Here is a 23,528-nt window from a genome sequence, read left to right on the forward strand (position 1 = left end):
GCCTAATGAAATGGCAAGAGTAGCGATTCAAGTTATCACAGGAAGCATCCCTTATCCGTGACTTCAAGCAGACCTGCCAAAGGGTGGCACACGCCATGCCCTGTGTCTTCGATCATTCTGTCCGTCAAGGGAGATAGAATCACCGTGTCTTCTACCGGAGTGAACCGTGAGAGACCTAAGTCCAGTCTCCAGAATCAGTTGTTTGTTTGGGGTTGAAAGCTCAACCCCCCATACCTAGGCCACGGGCCCTGTGGCAGGTGGGGTTTACTCTTGGACTAGGTAGTCATGGCAGAGGAACACACAATATCCGAGGATGCGCACAGCACATTGTGTTCTACAGATTTGACCCACTGGTGGTGAGGTCTCCTCATGACCACACAGGCAGGGAGTTAGCAGGTGGCTTCCTGTGGGTGTGTGAATATCCAACGTGCTTAACCATCGACATGTGTGTGTTTGTGTGTGTTTCAGGTGGCCCAACAGTCCACCCCTGAAAAAGGCGGTCATAAAACCCCCAGGAGACGAAGATGATGGCACGTCGGGACCCCAAATCTTGGGCCAAGAGACTGGTGAGAGCCCAGACCCTCCAGAAGCAGCGGAGGGCCCCAGTTGGGCCAAGGGCTCCCCCGCCCGATGAAGAAGATCCCAGGGTAAGTCTAGCCCTGGATCTCTTGGGTATCGGGGTGGGGGTGGGGACGGGGGGAGGGGGTGTCCCACGGTCCTCAGAGACTGGGTTGGATTCCAAAGAGTTCTGTCACCACCAGCCAGGTTGCTTTTCCCATCCAAGGTGGGCGTGGCTTGGGACCTTCTCCCCGGCCCGATAGGTCCCTTGAGAGACTCTTGGGGGCAACCTCCCTTTCTACTTAGAGTCCTGTGTAGCCACGTTTGGCTGCGTTGTTGACATCGGCTTCACCATCGTGCCCCTTGGAACCTTGAGTCCTTCCTTTCAGAGTTCCTCCGTCCCATGGGCTTTGCGAGGGAACATCGTACCCGAACTCTCCCGGCACTTAACGGCCCCCATGCCGGTGTCCCCTCTTTGGAATCCTTATTCAGCTCTGAATTCACAATCCGTCCCAATGTTGACGTGGGATCGCTGCCTGTGGCTTCAGCTCACTCACTGACATCACTTCCTTTCCACCCACAGCTCAAGTGCAAAAACTGCGGGGCCTTTGGCCACACGGCCAGAAGTACCAGGTGCCCCATGAAGTGCTGGAAGGCAGCCCTGGTTCCAGCGACCTTGGGGAAAAAGGAAGGGAAGGAAAACCTGAAACCATGGAAGCCCCGGGTTGAAGCCAACCCGGGGCCCTTGAACAAGGATAAGGGAGAGAAGGAAGAGAGACCAAGGTGAGCAGTGGGAGGGGTTTTCACCACTCTTAGGATGCTGCCTCCTAAGGACATGGTGTCTCTGCACCTGCACACCGTGTGCCTTTCCGTCTCCGGGCCAGGGAAGGAGCGCTGCAGAGAAATAGGCCGGAGCTCCGTGTCCTCCGGGGTTCCACACCCAGGAGCTCCTTGGGCTCTGGGAGATTCAGGGACGGGGAGAGGCGGGGGCGCTTCGTGCAGGTTCCCCACGACAGGGGGAAAAGCGATGGAATCCAAATCACAGTCCTTAGTTCGGAAGCCTAGAGGGCCACCTGGAGGATGGGAAGGTTGGCACGTGAGGGAAGGTGCAGAGGCGGAAAGGGCACCAGATGTCCATTTCTGTATCACAAAACACGGAATGGGGCTGGGCCCCAGACGGGGCTCTCCCTGTCTCCTGGGGAAAACCAGGGGGCACGGCCTGACCTTTTTCTGTTCTGCAGGCAACAAGACCCGCAGAGGAAGGCTCTCCTCCACATGTTTTCCGGGAAACCTCCAGAGAAGCCGCTGCCGAATGGAAAAGGATCCACGGAGTCTTCTGATCATCTGAGGGTGAGTGTCACCCCGGGCCCCTGGTCCTTTTCTCCTCTAGGTCACCCTGGTTGATTTCCTTTCAGCTTCCCGTCTGCGGGAGGAAATCGGGGAACCCCTCTTTCTTGCCTTCTTGGGGTCAGGGACTCCACGATCCTTCCAGGTCAATTGGATTCCAGGCGAAGGCATCTGAAGATGCCGTATTTCCTGTGGCTTTCTTTCTGTCCAATTATGGCAAGCCTGCCAACAACACGTTCCTAGCGGCATGAGGAAATTAGTCCCTCAGAGGCCCCAAACGTGGAGAAGGCGAAACCCAGGAACATGCATGTGTTCAGAGAAGACGTCCCGAGTACCCTTGAGCCAGCAACCTGCCTCGGGAAGGGCATTAGTCCGTTCCACTTCATGGAAGGCTGAGTGGAGGCGCTTTGATCCAGTTAATGCCCAAGACGCGATCTTTTGAACAATGGTGTGCTTAGATCAGCTACACATAGCTCGAGAGCGCATCTTTCATGTGTCTTGTCCTGATCAGCACTCAGGTGGAGGGTCTGTCCCTACTTCCAAGGACCGCCTGTCGATACTGTACTAAGAATTTCATGGCGTGTGCACCTTGTCTTTGGATGTGCTTGATTTTCACGTTGGCTCCATGCTGAGGAACTTCTAACCTGTGTTGTTTCCTCTCTTTCAGGTTGCAAGCGGGCCAATGCCGGTCCACACAACCAGTAAGAGGCCGCGCGTGGACCCTGTCCTCGCTGATCGCTCAGCTGCCGAAATGTCTGGCAGGGGCTCCGTCTTGGCTTCACTGTCTCCCCTCAGAAAAGCCAGCCTGAGCTCCTCCTCAAGTCTTGGACCAAAGGAAAGACAGACAGGGGCTGCGGCCGACATGCCTCAGCCTGCAGTCAGGCACCAGGGCCGCGAGCCTCTCCTCGTGGTGAAGCCGACACACAGCAGCCCCGAGGGTGGCTGCCGAGAAGTTCCCCAGGCTGCCTCCAAAACCCACGGCCTGCTCCAGGCCGCCAGACCCCAGGCACAAGACAAACGTCCTGCGGTGACCTCGCAGCCCTGCCCGCCAGCCGCCACACACAGCTTGGGCCTAGGCTCCAATCTCAGCTTCGGGCCAGGAGCCAAGAGACCTGCCCAGGCTCCGATTCAGGCTTGCCTGAAATTCCCCAAGAAACCGAGACTGGGTCCCTTCCAGATCCCCGAAAGCGCCATCCAGGGAGGTGAGCTGGGGGCCCCGGGGAATCTCCAACCTCCGCCAGCCGCAACCGAACTTGGACCAAGTACGTCGCCCCAGATGGGCAGGAGGACACCGGCCCAGGTGCCCAGCGTCGACTGGCAGCCTCCGCACAGCACACCTTGCCTGCCTACTGCCCAGGCCTGCACCATGTCCCATCACTCAGCGGCCAGCCATGATGGGGCCCAGCCTCTCAGAGTGCTCTTCCGGAGACTGGAAAACGGACGCTGGAGCTCCAGCCTCCTGGCGGCCCCCTCATTTCACTCTCCTGAGAAGCCGGGAGCCTTCCTCGCTCAGAGCCCTCATGTGTCAGAGAAGTCTGAGGCTCCCTGTGTTCGTGTCCCACCGAGCGTCCTCTATGAGGACCTTCAGGTTTCCTCCTCCTCAGAGGACAGCGATTCTGACCTGGAGTGAGACTGCAGGTGGCAGGGGCTCCTTGGCCTCCAGCTCCCGTGACTTGGAGGGGACTGTGGGACTGAGGAGCGCAGAGCAGAGAGCACACTCTGTGCGGTGACTCCGAAGCTCCCCGGCTGTGGCGCTTCTGTGGATGTGGGAGCCCAGGCCAGGCAGGGAGCAGATGCAGGGACTCTGCCTCATTGAATTCTGGTGAGGGACGTTGTAGTTGGCGTGGTTCTCCGGAAACGCGCCAGGAAAAGCTTCCGTGCCAGAGATTCGTTGCCTCAGAAACTGCGTGACGCGCAGGAGTCAGACTTCCGCTGGGACGTCAATAGGAAACTGGGGAATTACTGTGTATTTGCTCTCTAGATGACTGAATAAGGGAAAAGTTAGGGAACCCTGAGAGGTGCAGCCCTTCCGCTGTGCCCCGCCCTGAGAGCAGTGTTTCGGACGCTGGGAAGCGTGCTGTGCGAAGCGCTCTCGGGGTCTTTCCTCAGCCTCGAAAACTGGGCTCTGGAATGCCTTTGTACATATGTGTGTTTAATGGGTTTTGAAGTGAATAAAATTCTCAAAAAGATGACATATTGTCTTTTGACTCTCATTCCGTGTTTGTGTGTAACTGATTTTCCAAGTGAAGGGGTGGCCTGCCCCTCCACACCTGTGGGTGTTTCTAGTCGGGTGGGATGAGAGACGGAGAAAAGAAATAAGACACAGAGACAAAGTATAGGGAGACAACAGTGGGTCCAGGGGACCGGCACTCAGCACACCTAGGACCTGCACCGGCACCGGCCTCTGAGTTCCCTCAGTTTTTATTGATTATGATTTTCATTATTTCAGCACAAAGGAATGCAGTAGGGGAGCAGGGTGATAATAAGGGGAAGGTCAAAACAACAACAAAAAACAAACACGTGAGCAAAAGAATCCATATCATTATTAAGTTCAAGGGAAGGTACTATGCCTGGACGTGCACGTAGGCCAGATTTATGTTTCTCTCCACACAAATATCTCAGCGGAGTAAAGAATAACAAGGCAGCATTACTGCCAGCATGTCTCGCCTCCCGCCACAGGGCAGCTTTTCGCCGAGCTCAGAGTTGAACAAATGTACGATCGGGCTTTACACCGAGACATTCAGTTCCCAGGGGCAAGCAGGAGACAGTGGCCTTCCTCCATCTGAACTGCAAGAGGCGTTCCTCTTTGACTAATCCACCTCAGCACAGACCCATTGCGGGTGTCAGGCTGGGGGACAGTCCGGTCTTTTCCATCCCACGAGGCCATATTTCAGACTGTCACATGGGGAGAAACCTTGGACAATACCCTGCTTTCAAGGGCAGAGGTCCCTGTGGCTTTCCACGGTGCATTGCACCCCTGGTTTATTGAGACTAGGGAATGGCAATGACTCCTACCAAGGATACTGCTCGTAAACATTTGGTAAACAAGGCGCGTCCTGCACAGCCCTAGATCCCTTAAACCTCGATTTTATACAACACAGGTTTTTGTGAGCTCCAAGTTGGGTCAAAGGAAGGGGCTGCGGGAAAGCTACAAATGATCAACATCTCAGCAAAGCAATTGTTTAAACTACAGGTCTTTTTCAAAATGGAGTCTCTTATGTCTTCCCCTTCTACATAGACACAGTGACAGTCTGATCTCTCTTTCTTTACCCTACATCCAAGGGCTTGAACATTTCTTGACTTGTTGGCAATCCAAATCGTTACGTCTCCGAAACAGAGTTGACTGAGGGGACCGCAGGGCTGGGCAGGACCTTTGACTTCCTATACATCCACAGGAGCAAGAAAACCTCAGCCCCACTCTACCAACACGCACCTAGTAAAATTCCGCCAACCGAATCTCACGCACGCTAACACGTGGGGAGCGTTGCTTGCACCACGAGTCCCCATTTGGCTCAACCGCCGATGCCAAGTGTGTGGTTCCAGTTGCGACGGCCCCCCGTGAAGTGGCTTCCGGATGTGCGAAGGAACCAGGCAGAGTTTCACTGGCCAAATAGACCCCAGCAAAGCTGAAGTTAACTCCCACATTTGGGATGTACTTCAGAGGTAAAACATTCATCCCGTCTTCTTTCCGGATGTCTGACACCATGGTTCTCCCCCTGATCCTAAGAGTAGCTGAGGCAGAGACTCACTGAAAGATCTAGGCGGGGATATCCCATCATGCACAGGCTCTCTCCATTCTCTGACCTGGGAACAACTCTCAGCAGGATTCCACATCTAGGAGGCCTCGGAACTCAGCGGGATTTTCTGAGACACACCAACTGGCTGCTCCCTCTCCGCCGCTGTTGAGGGTCGTTATCTTGATTATCCAGATCACCTAGAAAGTATCCGTATCCAGAATGAATAAGATCAACTCTCTGCTCCTCTGACAGCAGAAGGAGCAGGACCATAAGGAACCAAAGAGCGTGGAAGGAAACGATGTGACAGGAAAGCTCAGAGAACGGCCACAGGGGGTCGTCAGCAGGCCTTCGAACCTGAATCATGAATAATTAATGAAGCGCAAATCAAAGGGGACTCGAGTTTCAGCAGGAGCAATCCATCCAACGGGAGATCGCCGGAGGGCCAACAAGATTGAGAGACTGGGAGCCGGGTGCAGTGTCAAAGGGGACGCGACTGGTTCCAAAGCTCGAGAAGACCATGGGGTCACTTGGGCTACATGAGAAAACGCCCCAGTGTGCTGGTTCATCATTCCGACTCCTGCCTGTCTCTTCCCGTCCAAGGAACATGGACCCTAAGTCGTGCAGGTGCGGATGACCATGGGCAGAATTAGGGGCCGTGGCACAAAAGTTCACCGACACGGGAGTTCCACAGAAGGTGCGGTGGATCTTCGCAAATCCAGAGACATGGCAATGGGACCCAGGGAATTACAGCCTCACAGGCGTCCGGGAGACTTTTCAGGCATAATGCCTGGAGTCGCAAGACGAGCTGAAAAAGGAGCCAGGCACTGAAGGACAAAGCGTTGTTGACTTTCCTCATCTGTGTTTCCCAGTGCGGTCCAATTCACGGTGGTTTCCAAGCGCCTCCTGGGGGAGAAAACACATGAGGGTGCGGTCAGGGTTCTCTGCTGACAGACTTACCTTGGGGAAGAAAGAGAAGCTCTGAAGATGGATCATGGCCGTGACTGCATGTCAAGCAGAGTCTCCTTGATGACACTGAGGCCTACGTCGAGATAGACAAAATGTGGTCCAATTAAAAGGTGTCTATTTTACCACATTTTTTAAAACAAAACAAAACAAAACAACAGAAAAGATGGAAAAGAAGACAGGGGTACAGGCACCAGTGTTACATGTCTGACGGGGAACATCTATTGTTCAAAGCTTGCAGCTGTACAAGTAGGTTTTAGAATGTCTGTCAGCAGTGGACATGATCTTAGAGTGGGCTGTGCAGATAGACCTTTCCAGGTCATGTAATTGGATTAAGTTAATTGCAATTAAGGTACAGGTAACTGATTAGGTTAGGGTACGTTCCATGTCAGGTGACCAGAGGCAGTATAAAAGGCAGCCTGGAAAGCAGAGGTCCCTCTCCGCCCCTTCCTCCGTCGTCCTGGATGCTGCATCGCTTCCAGCGGGGCTGCTGCAGCACCTGCCCATCTCAGCGCCAGCCTGGGAAAGAAAGTAGACGTGTAATTTCAGGTTAGTTTCGCTGAACAATTGTTTGTTTCACGCAATCCCTGAGTGGTTTTGGCGGGGAGGGGCGGGGGGAGGAAGAGACAAAGGAGTCCGAAAGAAACCGATCACACTGGGGCTTGCTGGTGGGGTAGGATGTGTTCTCGTTACTAGTAATTCTTGGAACAGAAAACGAGACAACATATCCGTCTCCACGTGTGGGAGAAGACCAAGATGGGAATGCGAAAAGAAATGTACTGCAGCATGCTGAGTTGGTGGGTAAATGGAAAAAGGACTTTGGAAAAAAGGGGGGTTTGCCCTTCAGCCGTGTAAGACGTCGATACGATACGGCACTTCTTCCCCGTTTGTTCAGATGAATTCGTGTGGTATGCGTAAAATACCAGGAAAATAAATAAAGAGGGGCTGGAGCTAAAGCCAAAAGATAGAACAGGAAAGATCATCACCTGCTAGTGCGGTAGAGAGGAAGGTAACTTCTCTGTATGAATTTGTGTTTGGAAGTTGCCTAATGAAATGGCAAGAGTAGCGATTCAAGTTATCACAGGAAGCATCCCTTATCCGTGACTTCAAGCAGACCTGCCAAAGGGTGGCACACGCCATGCCCTGTGTCTTCGATCATTCTGTCCGTCAAGGGAGATAGAATCACCGTGTCTTCTACCGGAGTGAACCGTGAGAGACCTAAGTCCAGTCTCCAGAATCAGTTGTTTGTTTGGGGTTGAAAGCTCAACCCCCCATACCTAGGCCACGGGCCCTGTGGCAGGTGGGGTTTACTCTTGGACTAGGTAGTCATGGCAGAGGAACACACAATATCCGAGGATGCGCACAGCACATTGTGTTCTACAGATTTGACCCACTGGTGGTGAGGTCTCCTCATGACCACACAGGCAGGGAGTTAGCAGGTGGCTTCCTGTGGGTGTGTGAATATCCAACGTGCTTAACCATCGACATGTGTGTGTTTGTGTGTGTTTCAGGTGGCCCAACAGTCCACCCCTGAAAAAGGCGGTCATAAAACCCCCAGGAGACGAAGATGATGGCACGTCGGGACCCCAAATCTTGGGCCAAGAGACTGGTGAGAGCCCAGACCCTCCAGAAGCAGCGGAGGGCCCCAGTTGGGCCAAGGGCTCCCCCGCCCGATGAAGAAGATCCCAGGGTAAGTCTAGCCCTGGATCTCTTGGGTATCGGGGTGGGGGTGGGGACGGGGGGAGGGGGTGTCCCACGGTCCTCAGAGACTGGGTTGGATTCCAAAGAGTTCTGTCACCACCAGCCAGGTTGCTTTTCCCATCCAAGGTGGGCGTGGCTTGGGACCTTCTCCCCGGCCCGATAGGTCCCTTGAGAGACTCTTGGGGGCAACCTCCCTTTCTACTTAGAGTCCTGTGTAGCCACGTTTGGCTGCGTTGTTGACATCGGCTTCACCATCGTGCCCCTTGGAACCTTGAGTCCTTCCTTTCAGAGTTCCTCCGTCCCATGGGCTTTGCGAGGGAACATCGTACCCGAACTCTCCCGGCACTTAACGGCCCCCATGCCGGTGTCCCCTCTTTGGAATCCTTATTCAGCTCTGAATTCACAATCCGTCCCAATGTTGACGTGGGATCGCTGCCTGTGGCTTCAGCTCACTCACTGACATCACTTCCTTTCCACCCACAGCTCAAGTGCAAAAACTGCGGGGCCTTTGGCCACACGGCCAGAAGTACCAGGTGCCCCATGAAGTGCTGGAAGGCAGCCCTGGTTCCAGCGACCTTGGGGAAAAAGGAAGGGAAGGAAAACCTGAAACCATGGAAGCCCCGGGTTGAAGCCAACCCGGGGCCCTTGAACAAGGATAAGGGAGAGAAGGAAGAGAGACCAAGGTGAGCAGTGGGAGGGGTTTTCACCACTCTTAGGATGCTGCCTCCTAAGGACATGGTGTCTCTGCACCTGCACACCGTGTGCCTTTCCGTCTCCGGGCCAGGGAAGGAGCGCTGCAGAGAAATAGGCCGGAGCTCCGTGTCCTCCGGGGTTCCACACCCAGGAGCTCCTTGGGCTCTGGGAGATTCAGGGACGGGGAGAGGCGGGGGCGCTTCGTGCAGGTTCCCCACGACAGGGGGAAAAGCGATGGAATCCAAATCACAGTCCTTAGTTCGGAAGCCTAGAGGGCCACCTGGAGGATGGGAAGGTTGGCACGTGAGGGAAGGTGCAGAGGCGGAAAGGGCACCAGATGTCCATTTCTGTATCACAAAACACGGAATGGGGCTGGGCCCCAGACGGGGCTCTCCCTGTCTCCTGGGGAAAACCAGGGGGCACGGCCTGACCTTTTTCTGTTCTGCAGGCAACAAGACCCGCAGAGGAAGGCTCTCCTCCACATGTTTTCCGGGAAACCTCCAGAGAAGCCGCTGCCGAATGGAAAAGGATCCACGGAGTCTTCTGATCATCTGAGGGTGAGTGTCACCCCGGGCCCCTGGTCCTTTTCTCCTCTAGGTCACCCTGGTTGATTTCCTTTCAGCTTCCCGTCTGCGGGAGGAAATCGGGGAACCCCTCTTTCTTGCCTTCTTGGGGTCAGGGACTCCACGATCCTTCCAGGTCAATTGGATTCCAGGCGAAGGCATCTGAAGATGCCGTATTTCCTGTGGCTTTCTTTCTGTCCAATTATGGCAAGCCTGCCAACAACACGTTCCTAGCGGCATGAGGAAATTAGTCCCTCAGAGGCCCCAAACGTGGAGAAGGCGAAACCCAGGAACATGCATGTGTTCAGAGAAGACGTCCCGAGTACCCTTGAGCCAGCAACCTGCCTCGGGAAGGGCATTAGTCCGTTCCACTTCATGGAAGGCTGAGTGGAGGCGCTTTGATCCAGTTAATGCCCAAGACGCGATCTTTTGAACAATGGTGTGCTTAGATCAGCTACACATAGCTCGAGAGCGCATCTTTCATGTGTCTTGTCCTGATCAGCACTCAGGTGGAGGGTCTGTCCCTACTTCCAAGGACCGCCTGTCGATACTGTACTAAGAATTTCATGGCGTGTGCACCTTGTCTTTGGATGTGCTTGATTTTCACGTTGGCTCCATGCTGAGGAACTTCTAACCTGTGTTGTTTCCTCTCTTTCAGGTTGCAAGCGGGCCAATGCCGGTCCACACAACCAGTAAGAGGCCGCGCGTGGACCCTGTCCTCGCTGATCGCTCAGCTGCCGAAATGTCTGGCAGGGGCTCCGTCTTGGCTTCACTGTCTCCCCTCAGAAAAGCCAGCCTGAGCTCCTCCTCAAGTCTTGGACCAAAGGAAAGACAGACAGGGGCTGCGGCCGACATGCCTCAGCCTGCAGTCAGGCACCAGGGCCGCGAGCCTCTCCTCGTGGTGAAGCCGACACACAGCAGCCCCGAGGGTGGCTGCCGAGAAGTTCCCCAGGCTGCCTCCAAAACCCACGGCCTGCTCCAGGCCGCCAGACCCCAGGCACAAGACAAACGTCCTGCGGTGACCTCGCAGCCCTGCCCGCCAGCCGCCACACACAGCTTGGGCCTAGGCTCCAATCTCAGCTTCGGGCCAGGAGCCAAGAGACCTGCCCAGGCTCCGATTCAGGCTTGCCTGAACTTCCCCAAGAAACCGAGACTGGGTCCCTTCCAGATCCCCGAAAGCGCCATCCAGGGAGGTGAGCTGGGGGCCCCGGAGAATCTCCAACCTCCGCCAGCCGCAACCGAACTTGGACCAAGTACGTCGCCCCAGATGGGCAGGAGGACACCGGCCCAGGTGCCCAGCGTCGACCGGCAGCCTCCGCACAGCACACCTTGCCTGCCTACTGCCCAGGCCTGCACCATGTCCCATCACTCAGCGGCCAGCCATGATGGGGCCCAGCCTCTCAGAGTGCTCTTCCGGAGACTGGAAAACGGACGCTGGAGCTCCAGCCTCCTGGCGGCCCCCTCATTTCACTCTCCTGAGAAGCCGGGAACCTTCCTCGCTCAGAGCCCTCATGTGTCAGAGAAGTCTGAGGCTCCCTGTGTTCGTGTCCCACCGAGCGTCCTCTATGAGGACCTTCAGGTTTCCTCCTCCTCAGAGGACAGCGATTCTGACCTGGAGTGAGACTGCAGGTGGCAGGGGCTCCTTGGCCTCCAGTTCCCGTGACTTGGAGGGGACTGTGGGACTGAGGAGCGCAGAGCAGAGAGCACACTCTGTGCGGTGACTCCGAAGCTCCCCGGCTGTGGCGCTTCTGTGGATGTGGGAGCCCAGGCCAGGCAGGGAGCAGATGCAGGGACTCTGCCTCATTGAATTCTGGTGAGGGACGTTGTAGTTGGCGTGGTTCTCCGGAAACGCGCCAGGAAAAGCTTCCGTGCCAGAGATTCGTTGCCTCAGAAACTGCGTGACGCGCAGGAGTCAGACTTCCGCTGGGACGTCAATAGGAAACTGGGGAATTACTGTGTATTTGCTCTCTAGATGACTGAATAAGGGAAAAGTTAGGGAACCCTGAGAGGTGCAGCCCTTCCGCTGTGCCCCGCCCTGAGAGCAGTGTTTCGGACGCTGGGAAGCGTGCTGTGCGAAGCGCTCTCGGGGTCTTTCCTCAGCCTCGAAAACTGGGCTCTGGAATGCCTTTGTACATATGTGTGTTTAATGTGTTTTGAAGTGAATAAAATTCTCAAGAAGATGACATATTGTCTTTTGACTCTCATTCCGTGTTTGTGTGTAACTGATTTTCCAAGTGAAGGGGTGGCCTGCCCCTCCACACCTGTGGGTGTTTCTAGTCGGGTGGGATGAGAGACGGAGAAAAGAAATAAGACACAGAGACAAAGTATAGGGAGACAACAGTGGGTCCAGGGGACCGGCACTCAGCACACCTAGGACCTGCACCGGCACCGGCCTCTGAGTTCCCGCAGTTTTTATTGATTGTGATTTTCATTATTTCAGCACAAAGGAATGCAGTAGGGGAGCAGGGTGATAATAAGGGGAAGGTCAACAAAAACAACACAAAACAAACACGTGAGCAAAAGAATCCATATCATTATTAAGTTCAAGGGAAGGTACTATGCCTGGACGTGCACGTAGGCCAGATTTATGTTTCTCTCCACACAAATATCTCAGCGGAGTAAAGAATAACAAGGCAGCATTACTGCCAACATGTCTCGCCTCCCGCCACAGGGCAGCTTTTCGCCGAGCTCAGAGTTGAACAAATGTACGATCGGGCTTTACACCGAGACATTCAGTTCCCAGGGGCAAGCAGGAGACAGTGGCCTTCCTCCATCTGAACTGCAAGAGGCGTTCCTCTTTGACTAATCCACCTCAGCACAGACCCATTGCGGGTGTCAGGCTAGGGGACATTCAGGACTTTCCCATCCCACGAGGCCATATTTCAGACTGTCACATGGGGAGAAACCTTGGACAATACCCTGCTTTCAAGGGCAGAGGTCCCTGTGGCTTTCCACGGTGCATTGCACCCCTGGTTTATTGAGACTAGAGAATGGCAATGACTTCTACCAAGTATACTGCTCGTAAACATTTGGTTAACAAGGCGCGTCCTGCACAGCCCTAGATCCCTTAAACCTCGATTTTATACAACACAGGTTTTTGTGAGCTCCAAGTTGGGTCAAAGGAAGGGGCTGCGGCAAGGCAACAAATGAACAACATCTCAGCAAAGCAATTGTTTAAACTACAGGTCTTTTTCAAAATGGAGTCTCTTATGTCTTCCCCTTCTACATAGACACAGTGACAGTCTGATCTCTCTTTCTTTACCCTACATCCAAGGGCTTGAACATTTCTTGACTTGTTGGCAATCCAAATCGTTACGTCTCCGAAACAGAGTTGACTGAGGGGACCGCAGGGCTGGGCAGGACCTTTGACTTCCTATACATCCACAGGAGCAAGAAAACCTCAGCCCCACTCTACCAACACGCACCTAGTAAAATTCCGCCAACCGAATCTCACGCACGCTAACACGTGGGGAGCGTTGCTTGCACCACGAGTCCCCATTTGGCTCAACCGCCGATGCCAAGTGTGTGGTTCCAGTTGCGACGGCCCCCCGTGAAGTGGCTTCCGGATGTGCGAAGGAACCAGGCAGAGTTTCACTGGCCAAATAGACCCCAGCAAAGCTGAAGTTAACTCCCACATTTGGGATGTACTTCAGAGGTAAAACATTCATCCCGTCTTCTTTCCGGATGTCTGACACCATGGTTCTCCCCCTGATCCTAAGAGTAGCTGAGGCAGAGACTCACTGAAAGATCTAGGCGGGGATATCCCATCATGCACAGGCTCTCTCCATTCTCTGACCTGGGAACAACTCTCAGCAGGATTCCACATCTAGGAGGCCTCGGAACTCAGCGGGATTTTCTGAGACACACCAACTGGCTGCTCCCTCTCCGCCGCTGTTGAGGGTCGTTATCTTGATTATCCAGATCACCTAGAAAGTATCCGTATCCAGAATGAATAAGATCAACTCTCTGCTCCTCTGACAGCAGAAGGAGCAGGACCGTAAGGAACCAAAGAGCGTGGAAGGAAACGATGTGACAGGAAAGCTCAGAGAACGGCCACAGGGGGTCGTCAGCAGGCCTTCCAACCTGAATCATGAATAATTAATGAAGCGCAAATCAAAGGGGACTCGAGTTTCAGCAGGAGCAATTCATCCAACGGGAGATCGCCGGAGGGCCAACAAGATTGAGTGACTGGGAGCCGGGTGCAGTGTCAAAGGGGACGCGACTGGTTCCAAAGCTCGAGAAGACCATGGGGTCACTTGGGCTACATGAGAAAACGCCCCAGTGTGCTGGTTCATCATTCCGACTCCTGCCTGTCTCTTCCCGTCCAAGGAACATGGACCCTAAGTCGTGCAGGTGCGGATGACCATGGGCAGAATTAGGGGCCGTGGCACAAAAGTTCACCGACACGGGAGTTCCACAGAAGGTGCGGTGGATCTTCGCAAATCCAGAGACATGGCAATGGGACCCAGGGAATTACAGCCTCACAGGCGTCCGGGAGACTTTTCAGGCATAATGCCTGGAGTCGCAAGAGGAGCTGAAAAAGGAGCCAGGCACTGAAGGACAAAGCGTTGTTGACTTTCCTCATCTGTGTTTCCCAGTGCGGTCCAATTCACGGTTGTTTCCAAGCGCCTCCTGGGGGAGAAAACACATGAGGGTGCGGTCAGGGTTCTCTGCTGACAGACTTACCTTGGGGAAGAAAGAGAAGCTCTGAAGATGGATCATGGCCGTGACTGCATGTCAAGGAGAGTCTCCTTGATGACACTGAGGCCTACGTCGAGATAGACAAAATGTGGTCCAATTAAAAGGTGTCTATTTTACCACATTTTTTAAAACAAAACAAAACAAAACAACAAAAAAGATGGAAAAGAAGACAGGGGTACAGGCACCAGTGTTACATGTCTGACGGGGAACATCTATTGTTCAAAGCTTGCAGCTGTACAAGTAGGTTTTAGAATGTCTGTCAGCAGTGGACATGATCTTAGAGTGGGCTGTGCAGATAGACCTTTCCAGGTCATGTAATTGGATTAAGTTAATTGCAATTAAGGTACAGGTAACTGATTAGGTTAGGGTACGTTCCATGTCAGGTGACCAGAGGCAGTATAAAAGGCAGCCTGGAAAGCGGAGGTCCCTCTCTGCCCCTTCCTCCGTCGTCCTGGATGCTGCATCGCTTCCAGCCGGGCTGCTGCAGCACCTGCCCATCTCAGCGCCAGCCTGGGAATGAAAGTAGACGTGTAATTTCAGGTTAGTTTCGCTGAACAATTGTTTGTTTCACGCAATCCCTGAGGGGTATTTGCGGGGGGTGTGGGGGAGGAAGAGACAAAGGAGGCCGAAAGAAACCGATCACACTGGGGCTTGCTGGTGGGGTAGGATGTGTTCTCGTTACTAGTAATTCTTGGAACAGAAAACGAGACAACATATCCGTCTCCACGTGTGGGAGAAGACCAAGATGGGAATGGGAAAAGAAATGTACTGCAGCATGCTGAATTGGTGGGTAAATGGAAAAAAGACTTTGGAAAAAAGGGGGGTTTGCCCTTCAGCCGTGTAAGACGTCGATACGATACGGCACTTCTTCCCCGTTTGTTCAGATGAATTCGTGTGGTGTGCGTAAAATACCAGGAAAATAAATAAAGAGGGGCTGGAGCTAAAGCTAAAAGATAGAACAGGAAAGATCCTCACCTGCTAGTGCGGTAGAGAGGAAGGTAACTTCTCTGTATGAATTTGTGCTTGGAAGTTGCCTAATGAAATGGCAAGAGTAGCGATTCAAGTTGTCACAGGAAGCATCCCTTATCCGTGACTTCAAGCAGACCTGCCAAAGGGTGGCACACGCCATGCCCTGTGTCTTCGATCATTCTGTCCGTCAAGGGAGATAGAATCACCGTGTCTTCTACCGGAGTGAATCGTGAGAGACCTAAGTCCAGTCTCCAGAATCAGTTGTTTGTTTGGGGTTGAAAGCTCAACCCCCCATACCTAGGCCACGGGCCCTGTGGCAGGTGGGGTTTACTCTTGGACTAGGTAGTCATGGCAGAGGAACACACAATATCCGAGGATGCGCACAGCACATTGTGTTCTACAGATTTGACCGACTGGTGGTGAGGTCTCCTCATGACCACACAGGCAGGGAGTTAGCAGGTGGCTTCCTGTGGGTGTGTGAATATCCAACGTGCTTAACCATCGACATGTGTGTGTTTGTGTGTGTTTCAGGTGGCCCAACAGTCCACCCCTGAAAAAGGCGGTCATAAAACCCCCAGGAGACGAAGATGATGGCACGTCGGGACCCCAAATCTTGGGCCAAGAGACTGGTGAGAGCCCAGACCCTCCAGAAGCAGCGGAGGGCCCCAGTTGGGCCAAGGGCTCCCCCGCCCGATGAAGAAGATCCCAGGGTAAGTCTAGCCCTGGATCTCTTGGGTATCGGGGTGGGGGTGGGGACGGGGGGAGGCGGTGTCCCACGGTCCTCAGAGACTGGGTTGGATTCCAAAGAGTTCTGTCACCACCAGCCAGGTTGCTTTTCCCATCCAAGGTGGGCGTGGCTTGGGACCTTCTCCCCGGCCCGATAGGTCCCTTGAGAGACTCTTGGGGGCAACCTCCCTTTCTACTTCGAGTCCTGTGTAGCCACGTTTGGCTGCGTTGTTGACATCGGCTTCACCATCGTGCCCCTTGGAACCTTGAGTCCTTCCTTTCAGAGTTCCTCCGTCACAAGGGCTTTGCGAGGGAACATCGTATCCGAACTCTCCCAGCACTTAACGGCCCCCATGCCGGTGTCCCCTCTTTGGAATCCTTATTCAGCTCTGAATTCACAATCCGTCCCAATGTTGACGTGGGATCGCTGCCTGTGGCTTCAGCTCACTCACTGACATCACTTCCTTTCCACCCACAGCTCAAGTGCAAAAACTGCGGGGCCTTTGGCCACACGGCCAGAAGTACCACGTGCCCCATGAAGTGCTGGAAGGCAGCCCTGGTTCCAGCGACCTTGGGGAAAAAGGAAGGGAAGGAAAACCTGAAACCATGGAAGCCCCGGGGTGAAGCCAACCCGGGGCCCTTGAACAAGGATAAGGGAGAGAAGGAAGAGAGACCAAGGTGAGCAGTGGGAGGGGTTTTCACCACTCTTAGGGTGCTGCCTCCTAAGGAGATGGTGTCTCTGCACCTGCACACCGTGTGCCTTTCCGTCTCCGGGCCAGGGAAGGAGCGCTGCAGAGAAATAGGCCGGAGCTCCGTGTCCTCCGGGGTTCCACACCCAGGAGCTCCTTGGGCTCTGGGAGATTCAGGGACGGGGAGAGGCGGGGGCGCTTCGTGCAGGTTCCCCACGACAGCGGGAAAAGCGATGGAATCCAAATCACAGTCCTTAGTCGGGAAGCCTAGAGGGCCACCTGGAGGATGGGAAGGTTGGCACGTGAGGGAAGGTGCAGAGGCGGAAAGGGCACCAGATGTCCATTTCTGTATCACAAAACACGGAATGGGGCTGGGCCCCAGACGGGGTTCTCCCTGTCTCCTGGGGAAAACCAGGGGGCACCGCCTGACCTTTTTCTGTTCTGCAGGCAACAAGACCCGCAGAGGAAGGCTCTCCTCCACATGTTTTCCGGGAAACCTCCAGAGAAGCCGCTGCCGAATGGAAAAGGATCCACGGAATCTTCTGAGCATCTGAGGGTGAGTGTCACCCCGGGCCCCTGGTCCTTTTCTCCTCTAGGTCACCCTGGTTGATTTCCTTTCAGCTTCCCGTCTGTGGGAGGAAATCGGGGAACCCCTCTTTCTTGCCTTCTTGGGGTCAGGGACTCCACAATCCTTCCAGGTCAATTGGATTCCAGGCGAAGGCATCTGAACATGCCGTATTTCCTGTTGCTTTCTTTCTGTCCAATTATGGCAAGCCTGCCAACAACACGTTCCTAGCGGCATGAGGAAATTAGTCCCTCAGAGGCCCCAAACGTGGAGAAGGCTAAACCCAGGAACATGCATGTGTTCAGAGAAGACGTCCCGAGTACCCTTGAGCCACCAACCTGCCTCGGGAAGGGCATTAGTCCGTTCCACTTCATGGAAGGCTGAGTGGAGGCGCTTTGATCCAGTTAATGCCCAAGACGCGATCTTTTGAACAATGGTGTGCTTAGATCAGCTACACATAGCTCGAGAGCGCACCTTTCATGTGTCTTGTCCTGATCAGCACTCAGGTGGAGGGATCTGTCCCTACTTCCAAGGACCGCCTGTCGATACTGTACTAAGAATTTCATGGCGTGTGCACCTTGTCTTTGGATATGTTTGATTTTCACGTTGGCTCCATGCCGTGGAACTTCTAACCTGTGTTGTTTCCTCTCTTTCAGGTTGCAAGCGGGCCAATGCCGGTCCACACAACCAGTAAGAGGCCGCGCGTGGACCCTGTCCTCGCTGATCGCTCAGCTACCGAAATGTCTGGCAGGGGCTCCGTCTTGGCTTCACTGTCTCCCCTCAGAAAAGCCAGCCTGAGCTCCTCCTCAAGTCTTGGACCAAAGGAAAGACAGACAGGGGCTGCGGCCGACATCCCTCAGCCTGCATTCAGGCACCAGGGCCCCGAGCCTCTCCTCGTGGTGAAGCCGACACACAGCAGCCCTGAGGGTGGCTGCCGAGAAGTTCCCCAGGCTGCCTCCAAAACCCACGGCCTGCTCCAGGCCGCCAGACCCCAGGCACAAGACAAACGTCCTGCGGTGACCTCACAGCCCTGCCCGCCAGCCGCCACACACAGCTTGGGCCTAGGCTCCAATCTCAGCTTCGGGCCGGGAGCCAAGAGACCTGCCCAGGCTCCGATTCAGGCTTGCCTGAACTTCCCCAAGAAACCGAGACTGGGTCCCTTCCAGATCCCCGAAAGCGCCATCCAGGGAGGTGAGCTGGGGGCCCCGGAGAATCTCCAACCTCCGCCAGCCGCAACCGAACTTGGACCAAGTACGTCGCCCCAGATGGGCAGGAGGACACCGGCCCAGGTGCCCAGCGTCGACTGGCAGCCTCCGCACAGCACACCTTGCCTGCCTACTGCCCAGGCCTGCACCATGTCCCATCACCCAGCGGCCGGCCATGATGGGGCCCAGCCTCTCAGAGTGCTCTTCCGGAGACTGGAAAACGGACGCTGGAGCTCCAGCCTCCTGGCCGCCCCCTCATTTCACTCTCCTGAGAAGCCGGGAGCCTTCCTCGCTCAGAGCCCTCATGTGTCAGAGAAGTCTGAGGCTCCCTGTGTTCGTGTCCCACCGAGCGTCCTCTATGAGGACCTTCAGGTTTCCTCCTCCTCAGAGGACAGCGATTCTGACCTGGAGTGAGACTGCAGGTGGCAGGGGCTCCTTGGCCTCCAGCTCCCGTGACTTGGAGGGGACTGTGGGACTGAGGAGCGCAGAGCAGAGAGCACACTCTGTGCGGTGACTCCGAAGCTCCCCGGCTGTGGCGCTTCTGTGGATGTGGGAGCCCAGGCCAGGCAGGGAGCAGATGCAGGGACTCTGCCTCATTGAATTCTGGTGAGGGACGTTGTAGTTGGCGTGGTTCTCCCGAAACGCGCCAGGAAAAGCTTCCGTGCCAGAGATTCGTTGCCTCAGAAACTGCGTGACGCGCAGGAGTCAGACTTCCGCTGGGACGTCAATAGGAAACTGGGGAATTACTGTGTATTTGCTGTCTAGATGACTGAATAAGGGAAAAGTTAGGGAACCCTGAGAGGTGCAGCCCTTCCGCTGTGCCCCGCCCTGAGAGCAGTGTTTCGGACGCTGGGAAGCGTGCTGTGCGAAGCGCTCTCGGGGTCTTTCCTCAGCCTCGAAAACTGGGCTCTGGAATGCCTTTGTACATATGTGTGTTTAATGTGTTTTGAAGTGAATAAAATTCTCAAAAAGATGACATATTGTCTTTTGACTCTCATTCCGTGTTTGTGTGTAACTGATTTTCCAAGTGAAGGGGTGGCCCGCCCCTCCACACCTGTGGGTGTTTCTAGTCGGGTGGGATGAGAGACGGAGAAAAGAAATCAGACACAGAGACAAAGTATAGGGAGACAACAGTGGGTCCAGGGGACCGGCACTCAGCACACCAAGGACCTGCACCGGCACCGGCCTCTGAGTTCCCGCAGTTTTTATTGATTATGATGTTCATTATTTCAGCACAAAGGAATGTAGTAGGGGAGCAGGGTGATAATAAGGGGAAGGTCAACAAAAAAAAAAAAAAAAAAAAAAAAAAACACGTGAGCAAAAGAATCCATATCATTATTAAGTTCAAGGGAAGGTACTATGCCTGGACGTGCACGTAGGCCAGATTTATGTTTCTCTCCACCCAAACATCTCAGCGGAGTAAAGAATAACAAGGCAGCATTACTGCCAACATGTCTCGCCTCCCGCCGCAGGGCTGCTTTTCTCCGAGCTCAGAGTTGAACAAATGTACGATCGGGCTTTACACCGAGACATTCAGTTCCCAGGGGCAAGCAGGAGACAGTGGCCTTCCTCCATCTGAACTGCAAGAGGCTTTCCTCTTTGACTAATCCACCTCAGCACAGACCCATTGCGGGTGTCGGGCTGGGGGACAGTCAGGTCTTTCCCATCCCACGAGGCCATATTTCAGACTGTCACATGGGGAGAAACCTTGGACAATACCCTGCTTTCAAGGGCAGAGGTCCCTGTGGCTTTCCACGGTGCATTGCACTCCTGGTTTATTGAGACTAGAGAATGGCAATGACTTCTACCAAGTATACTGCTCTTAAACATTTGGTTAACAAGGCGCGTCCTGCACAGCCCTAGATCCCTTAAACCTCGATTTTCTACAACACAGGTTTTTTGTGAGCTCCAAGTTGGGTCAAAGGAAGGGGCTGCAGCAAAGCTACAAATGATCAACATCTCAGCAAAGCAATTGTTTAAACTACAGGTCTTTTTCAAAATGGAGTCTCTTATGTCTTCCCCTTCTACATAGACACAGTGACAGTCTGATCTCTCTTTCTTTACCCTACATCCACGGGCTTGAACATTTCTTGACTTGTTGGCAATCCAAATCGTTACGTCTCCGAAACAGAGTTGACTGATGGGACCGCAGGTCTGGGCAGGACTTTGACTTCCTATACATCCACAGGAGCAAGAAAACCTCAGCCCCACTCTACCAACACGCACCTAGTAAAATTCCGCCAACCGAATCTCACGCACGCTAACACGTGGGGAGCGTTGCTTGCACCACGAGTCCCCATTTGGCTCAACCGCCGATGCCAAGTGTGTGGTTCCAGTTGCGACGGCCCCCTGTGAAGTGGCTTCCGGATGTGCGAATGAACCAGGCAGCGTTTCACTGGCCAAATAGACCCCAGCAAAACTGAAGTTAACTCCCACATTTGGGATGTACTTCAGAGGTAAAACATTCATCCCGTCTTCTTTCCGGATGTCTGACACCATGGTTCTCCCCCTGATCCTAAGAGTAGCTGAGGTAGAGACTCACTGAAAGATCTAGGCAGGGATATCCCATCATGCACAGGCTCTCTCCATTCTCTGACCTGGGAACAACTCTCAGCAGGATTCCACATCTAGGAGGCCTCGGAACTCAGTGGGATTTTCTGAGACACACCAACTGGCTGCTCCCTCTCCGCCGCTGTTGAGGGTCGTTATCTTGATTATCCAGATCACCTAGAAAGTATCCGTATCCAGAATGAATAAGATCAACTCTCTGCTCCTCTGACAGCAGAAGGAGCAGGACCATAAGGAACCAAAGAGCGTGGAAGGAAACGATGTGACAGGAAAGCTCAGAGAACCGCCACAGGGGGTCGTCAGCAGGCCTTCCAACCTGAATCATGAATAATTAATGAAGCGCAAATCAAAGGGGACTCGAGTTTCAGCAGGAGCAATTCATCCAACGGGAGATCGCCGGAGGGCCAACAAGATTGAGAGACTGGGAGCCGGGTGCAGTGTCAAAGGGGACGCGACTGGTTCCAAAGCTCGAGAAGACCATGGGGTCACTTGGGCTACATGAGAAAATGCCCCAGTGTGCTGGTTCATCATTCCGACTCCTGCCTGTCTCTTCCGGTTCAGGGAACATAGACCCTCACTTGTGTTATCCAGTTGTCGTTCTTTTTTTAGATACTTATGCAGTGATACACAACTGTAACTATTTTTTAAATTTATATTTAGGCCTCTCCTCATAAGATACATTAATCAAGAGCCTTTCCATTGTGTTTCAAAACACAGTAGCATCTCACTCTACACACCGGACATGCCTGGTTACTGTTTTATCCAACATGTTTGAAATCAGCATTGTGATTGCCTTTTTTTTTCTACACGAAGGAGATAGAAACTTGTCTGTCCTCCTCAAAGTTATGGCCCTGCCTTTATAAAAAAAATGCTGCCCAAATCATGAAATTTAGTGTACAGGTATATGAAATACAAACCAAAAATTGAAAACAAAACTTAGGAATGGCAAGTGGTAATGTAAACTTGATGAGCCAGAGCAGAAGCGTGTCTCACTTGGAAGCAATCACAGCAGTCACCACTATTTCATCCTATAATTTCAGTATTTATTGAAAAGTATTGGCCTGGGGAGTGTGGGGAACCTGAACAAAGACAAGGACTGGGTCACAGCACGGAGAAAATGGTGAAAATCTCAGGGCATACATACAGTGTCAAGCTTAGGAATTATTATCTATACATCAGACCAATGACTACATGGACACCAGCAATCAAGGGGCTGTGTTAGCCCTGGGAGTGAGCAGAGTTCTTCAGGTGAATTTTCACGCCACTGAAAGCATGCTGAAAGCAGAACCCTCACGTTGAGGAGTAAGGGATTTGATTGAGTGTGGTTGCATTTAAGAGGTTGAATATGGAAGAGAAATTCTAAGGGACACTGTGTGCCAAGTGAAATGGGAGCACTTTATTTACACACCTTGCAGTTCTTCGTCTCCCTGCAGCATCTGGGATCCTCTGCTAGTGAGCACAATGGATCATGATGGGAAACAGAGAAGGGGAAGCAAGAGGTTCCTGGAACTACTCTCCCTCCACATTTTAGGGCATGCACTGACTAAGGATTTGGCCAATCTCTGATCTATCAATGTAAGTGGTGGATCTTGGCTACATCCCTTCTTGAAAACACATCTTCGTGCTCTGGTTGGAGAACTATGGTGAACCCTGTGGCAGACCTGAGTGCTGGACTTGGTGAAGGGTGCATAGGTCTGAGGGAGGAGTTGGGCAAAGTCTCCATCCTATACAGGCTGAAGCTGAGATTGGCTGGTCTAGCGAATCCCACTGGACTAGGTGTGGTTGGTAAAGGGTAGGGCACAGAGGAGAAAGTATGCAATGCGCAGTAGGATTATTGAAAGAGAAGCGCTGAGCCAAGCAACATGGTTTTCTTCGGATCTCATCAAGGGCTGGTGACATACGGGTTCTGCCTCCCCCTCTTCTGTAGGTGAGCGCGGCACATTGTCTCTTTCATGTCTGAGGTGTCTCTGTCTTGAACATGGAACTCCAAGGTGAAGTCATCCACAGAGTGCTAGATGTAATCGATCTGCAGAGGGAACTGCAGGCCATCCAGTGACCTCAGGACATGCTCAGGCACAACCACAAATACGCTGTTACCCAGGGTCAGGGCAGGGCTGTCTGTGGGGACAGGATGAGGACATACTCTTCCAGTCTCAGTGTGAGTTCTGTCCCTTGTTCCGGGACCACGATGATGAACGTCTCTGTGCTGGAATTCTGCTGCTGCTGTGGAACGACAGCCCTCAGTCCACTGCCTTCAAAAAAGACTGCAAATGATGCTCCTGGGGAGGGAGCTGGAGCAGCTTCACCCTCTACAACTTTAAAATACAAATTTCCTCCTAGAAGTGGCAGTCATGCTGACCCTGCTGAATGCACCACCACTGGATGTGTCTTGTGGCCTGGAGATTATGCAACATAGTCCAATCTTTGCTATCCATGAACATAGGGAGTTACCTGGGGTGATTCCAGGCCTGGAATGAATTCATGTGAGGAATTCTTTGAAGTAAGGGTGTTTCTGCATCTGTGGTGAGACCACAGTGAGGGAG

The 23,528-nt window shown here is 53.5% G+C and overlaps 3 protein-coding genes and 1 pseudogene across 3 annotated transcripts; all 4 read left to right on the forward strand.

Annotated features, from left to right (window-relative positions):
* LOC124901865 (translation initiation factor IF-2-like) overlaps window positions 1-23,528 on the forward strand; it is a 451,468-nt pseudogene that overhangs the window by 139,434 nt on the left and 288,506 nt on the right.
* Window positions 525-3,535, forward strand: FAM90A19 (family with sequence similarity 90 member A19). The gene is made up of 4 exons (NM_001164449.1): window positions 525-647; window positions 1,142-1,341; window positions 1,800-1,908; window positions 2,573-3,535. Exons 1-4 carry the CDS (start codon window positions 525-527, stop codon window positions 3,533-3,535), a joined length of 1,395 nt encoding a protein of 464 aa, NP_001157921.1.
* FAM90A9 (family with sequence similarity 90 member A9) lies at window positions 8,173-11,183 on the forward strand. Its single transcript, NM_001164448.1, has 4 exons — window positions 8,173-8,295; window positions 8,790-8,989; window positions 9,448-9,556; window positions 10,221-11,183. Exons 1-4 carry the CDS (start codon window positions 8,173-8,175, stop codon window positions 11,181-11,183), a joined length of 1,395 nt encoding a protein of 464 aa, NP_001157920.1.
* On the forward strand, window positions 15,820-18,831 carry FAM90A10 (family with sequence similarity 90 member A10). Its single transcript, NM_001164447.1, has 4 exons — window positions 15,820-15,942; window positions 16,437-16,636; window positions 17,095-17,203; window positions 17,869-18,831. Exons 1-4 carry the CDS (start codon window positions 15,820-15,822, stop codon window positions 18,829-18,831), a joined length of 1,395 nt encoding a protein of 464 aa, NP_001157919.1.

Source organism: Homo sapiens, chromosome 8 (genome assembly GCF_000001405.40).
Source record: "Homo sapiens chromosome 8, GRCh38.p14 Primary Assembly".
NCBI classification, from domain to species: Eukaryota; Metazoa; Chordata; class Mammalia; order Primates; family Hominidae; genus Homo; species Homo sapiens.

What these genes read in the sequence shown, in the direction of transcription:
- FAM90A9 (NM_001164448.1), top strand. Translation starts at nt 8,173, where the DNA reads ATGATGGCACGTCGGGACCCCAAATCTTGGGCCAAGAGACTGGTGAGA. An exon ending in GAGAAGGAAGAGAGACCAAG is followed by an intron (nt 8,990 to 9,447) that starts GTGAGCAGTGGG and finishes TCTGTTCTGCAG; the next exon opens with GCAACAAGACCCGCAGAGGA. An exon ending in AGTCTTCTGATCATCTGAGG is followed by an intron (nt 9,557 to 10,220) that starts GTGAGTGTCACC and finishes CCTCTCTTTCAG; the next exon opens with GTTGCAAGCGGGCCAATGCC.
- FAM90A19 (NM_001164449.1), top strand. Translation starts at nt 525, where the DNA reads ATGATGGCACGTCGGGACCCCAAATCTTGGGCCAAGAGACTGGTGAGA. An exon ending in GAGAAGGAAGAGAGACCAAG is followed by an intron (nt 1,342 to 1,799) that starts GTGAGCAGTGGG and finishes TCTGTTCTGCAG; the next exon opens with GCAACAAGACCCGCAGAGGA. An exon ending in AGTCTTCTGATCATCTGAGG is followed by an intron (nt 1,909 to 2,572) that starts GTGAGTGTCACC and finishes CCTCTCTTTCAG; the next exon opens with GTTGCAAGCGGGCCAATGCC.
- FAM90A10 (NM_001164447.1), top strand. Translation starts at nt 15,820, where the DNA reads ATGATGGCACGTCGGGACCCCAAATCTTGGGCCAAGAGACTGGTGAGA. An exon ending in CCGATGAAGAAGATCCCAGG is followed by an intron (nt 15,943 to 16,436) that starts GTAAGTCTAGCC and finishes TTCCACCCACAG; the next exon opens with CTCAAGTGCAAAAACTGCGG. An exon ending in AATCTTCTGAGCATCTGAGG is followed by an intron (nt 17,204 to 17,868) that starts GTGAGTGTCACC and finishes CCTCTCTTTCAG; the next exon opens with GTTGCAAGCGGGCCAATGCC.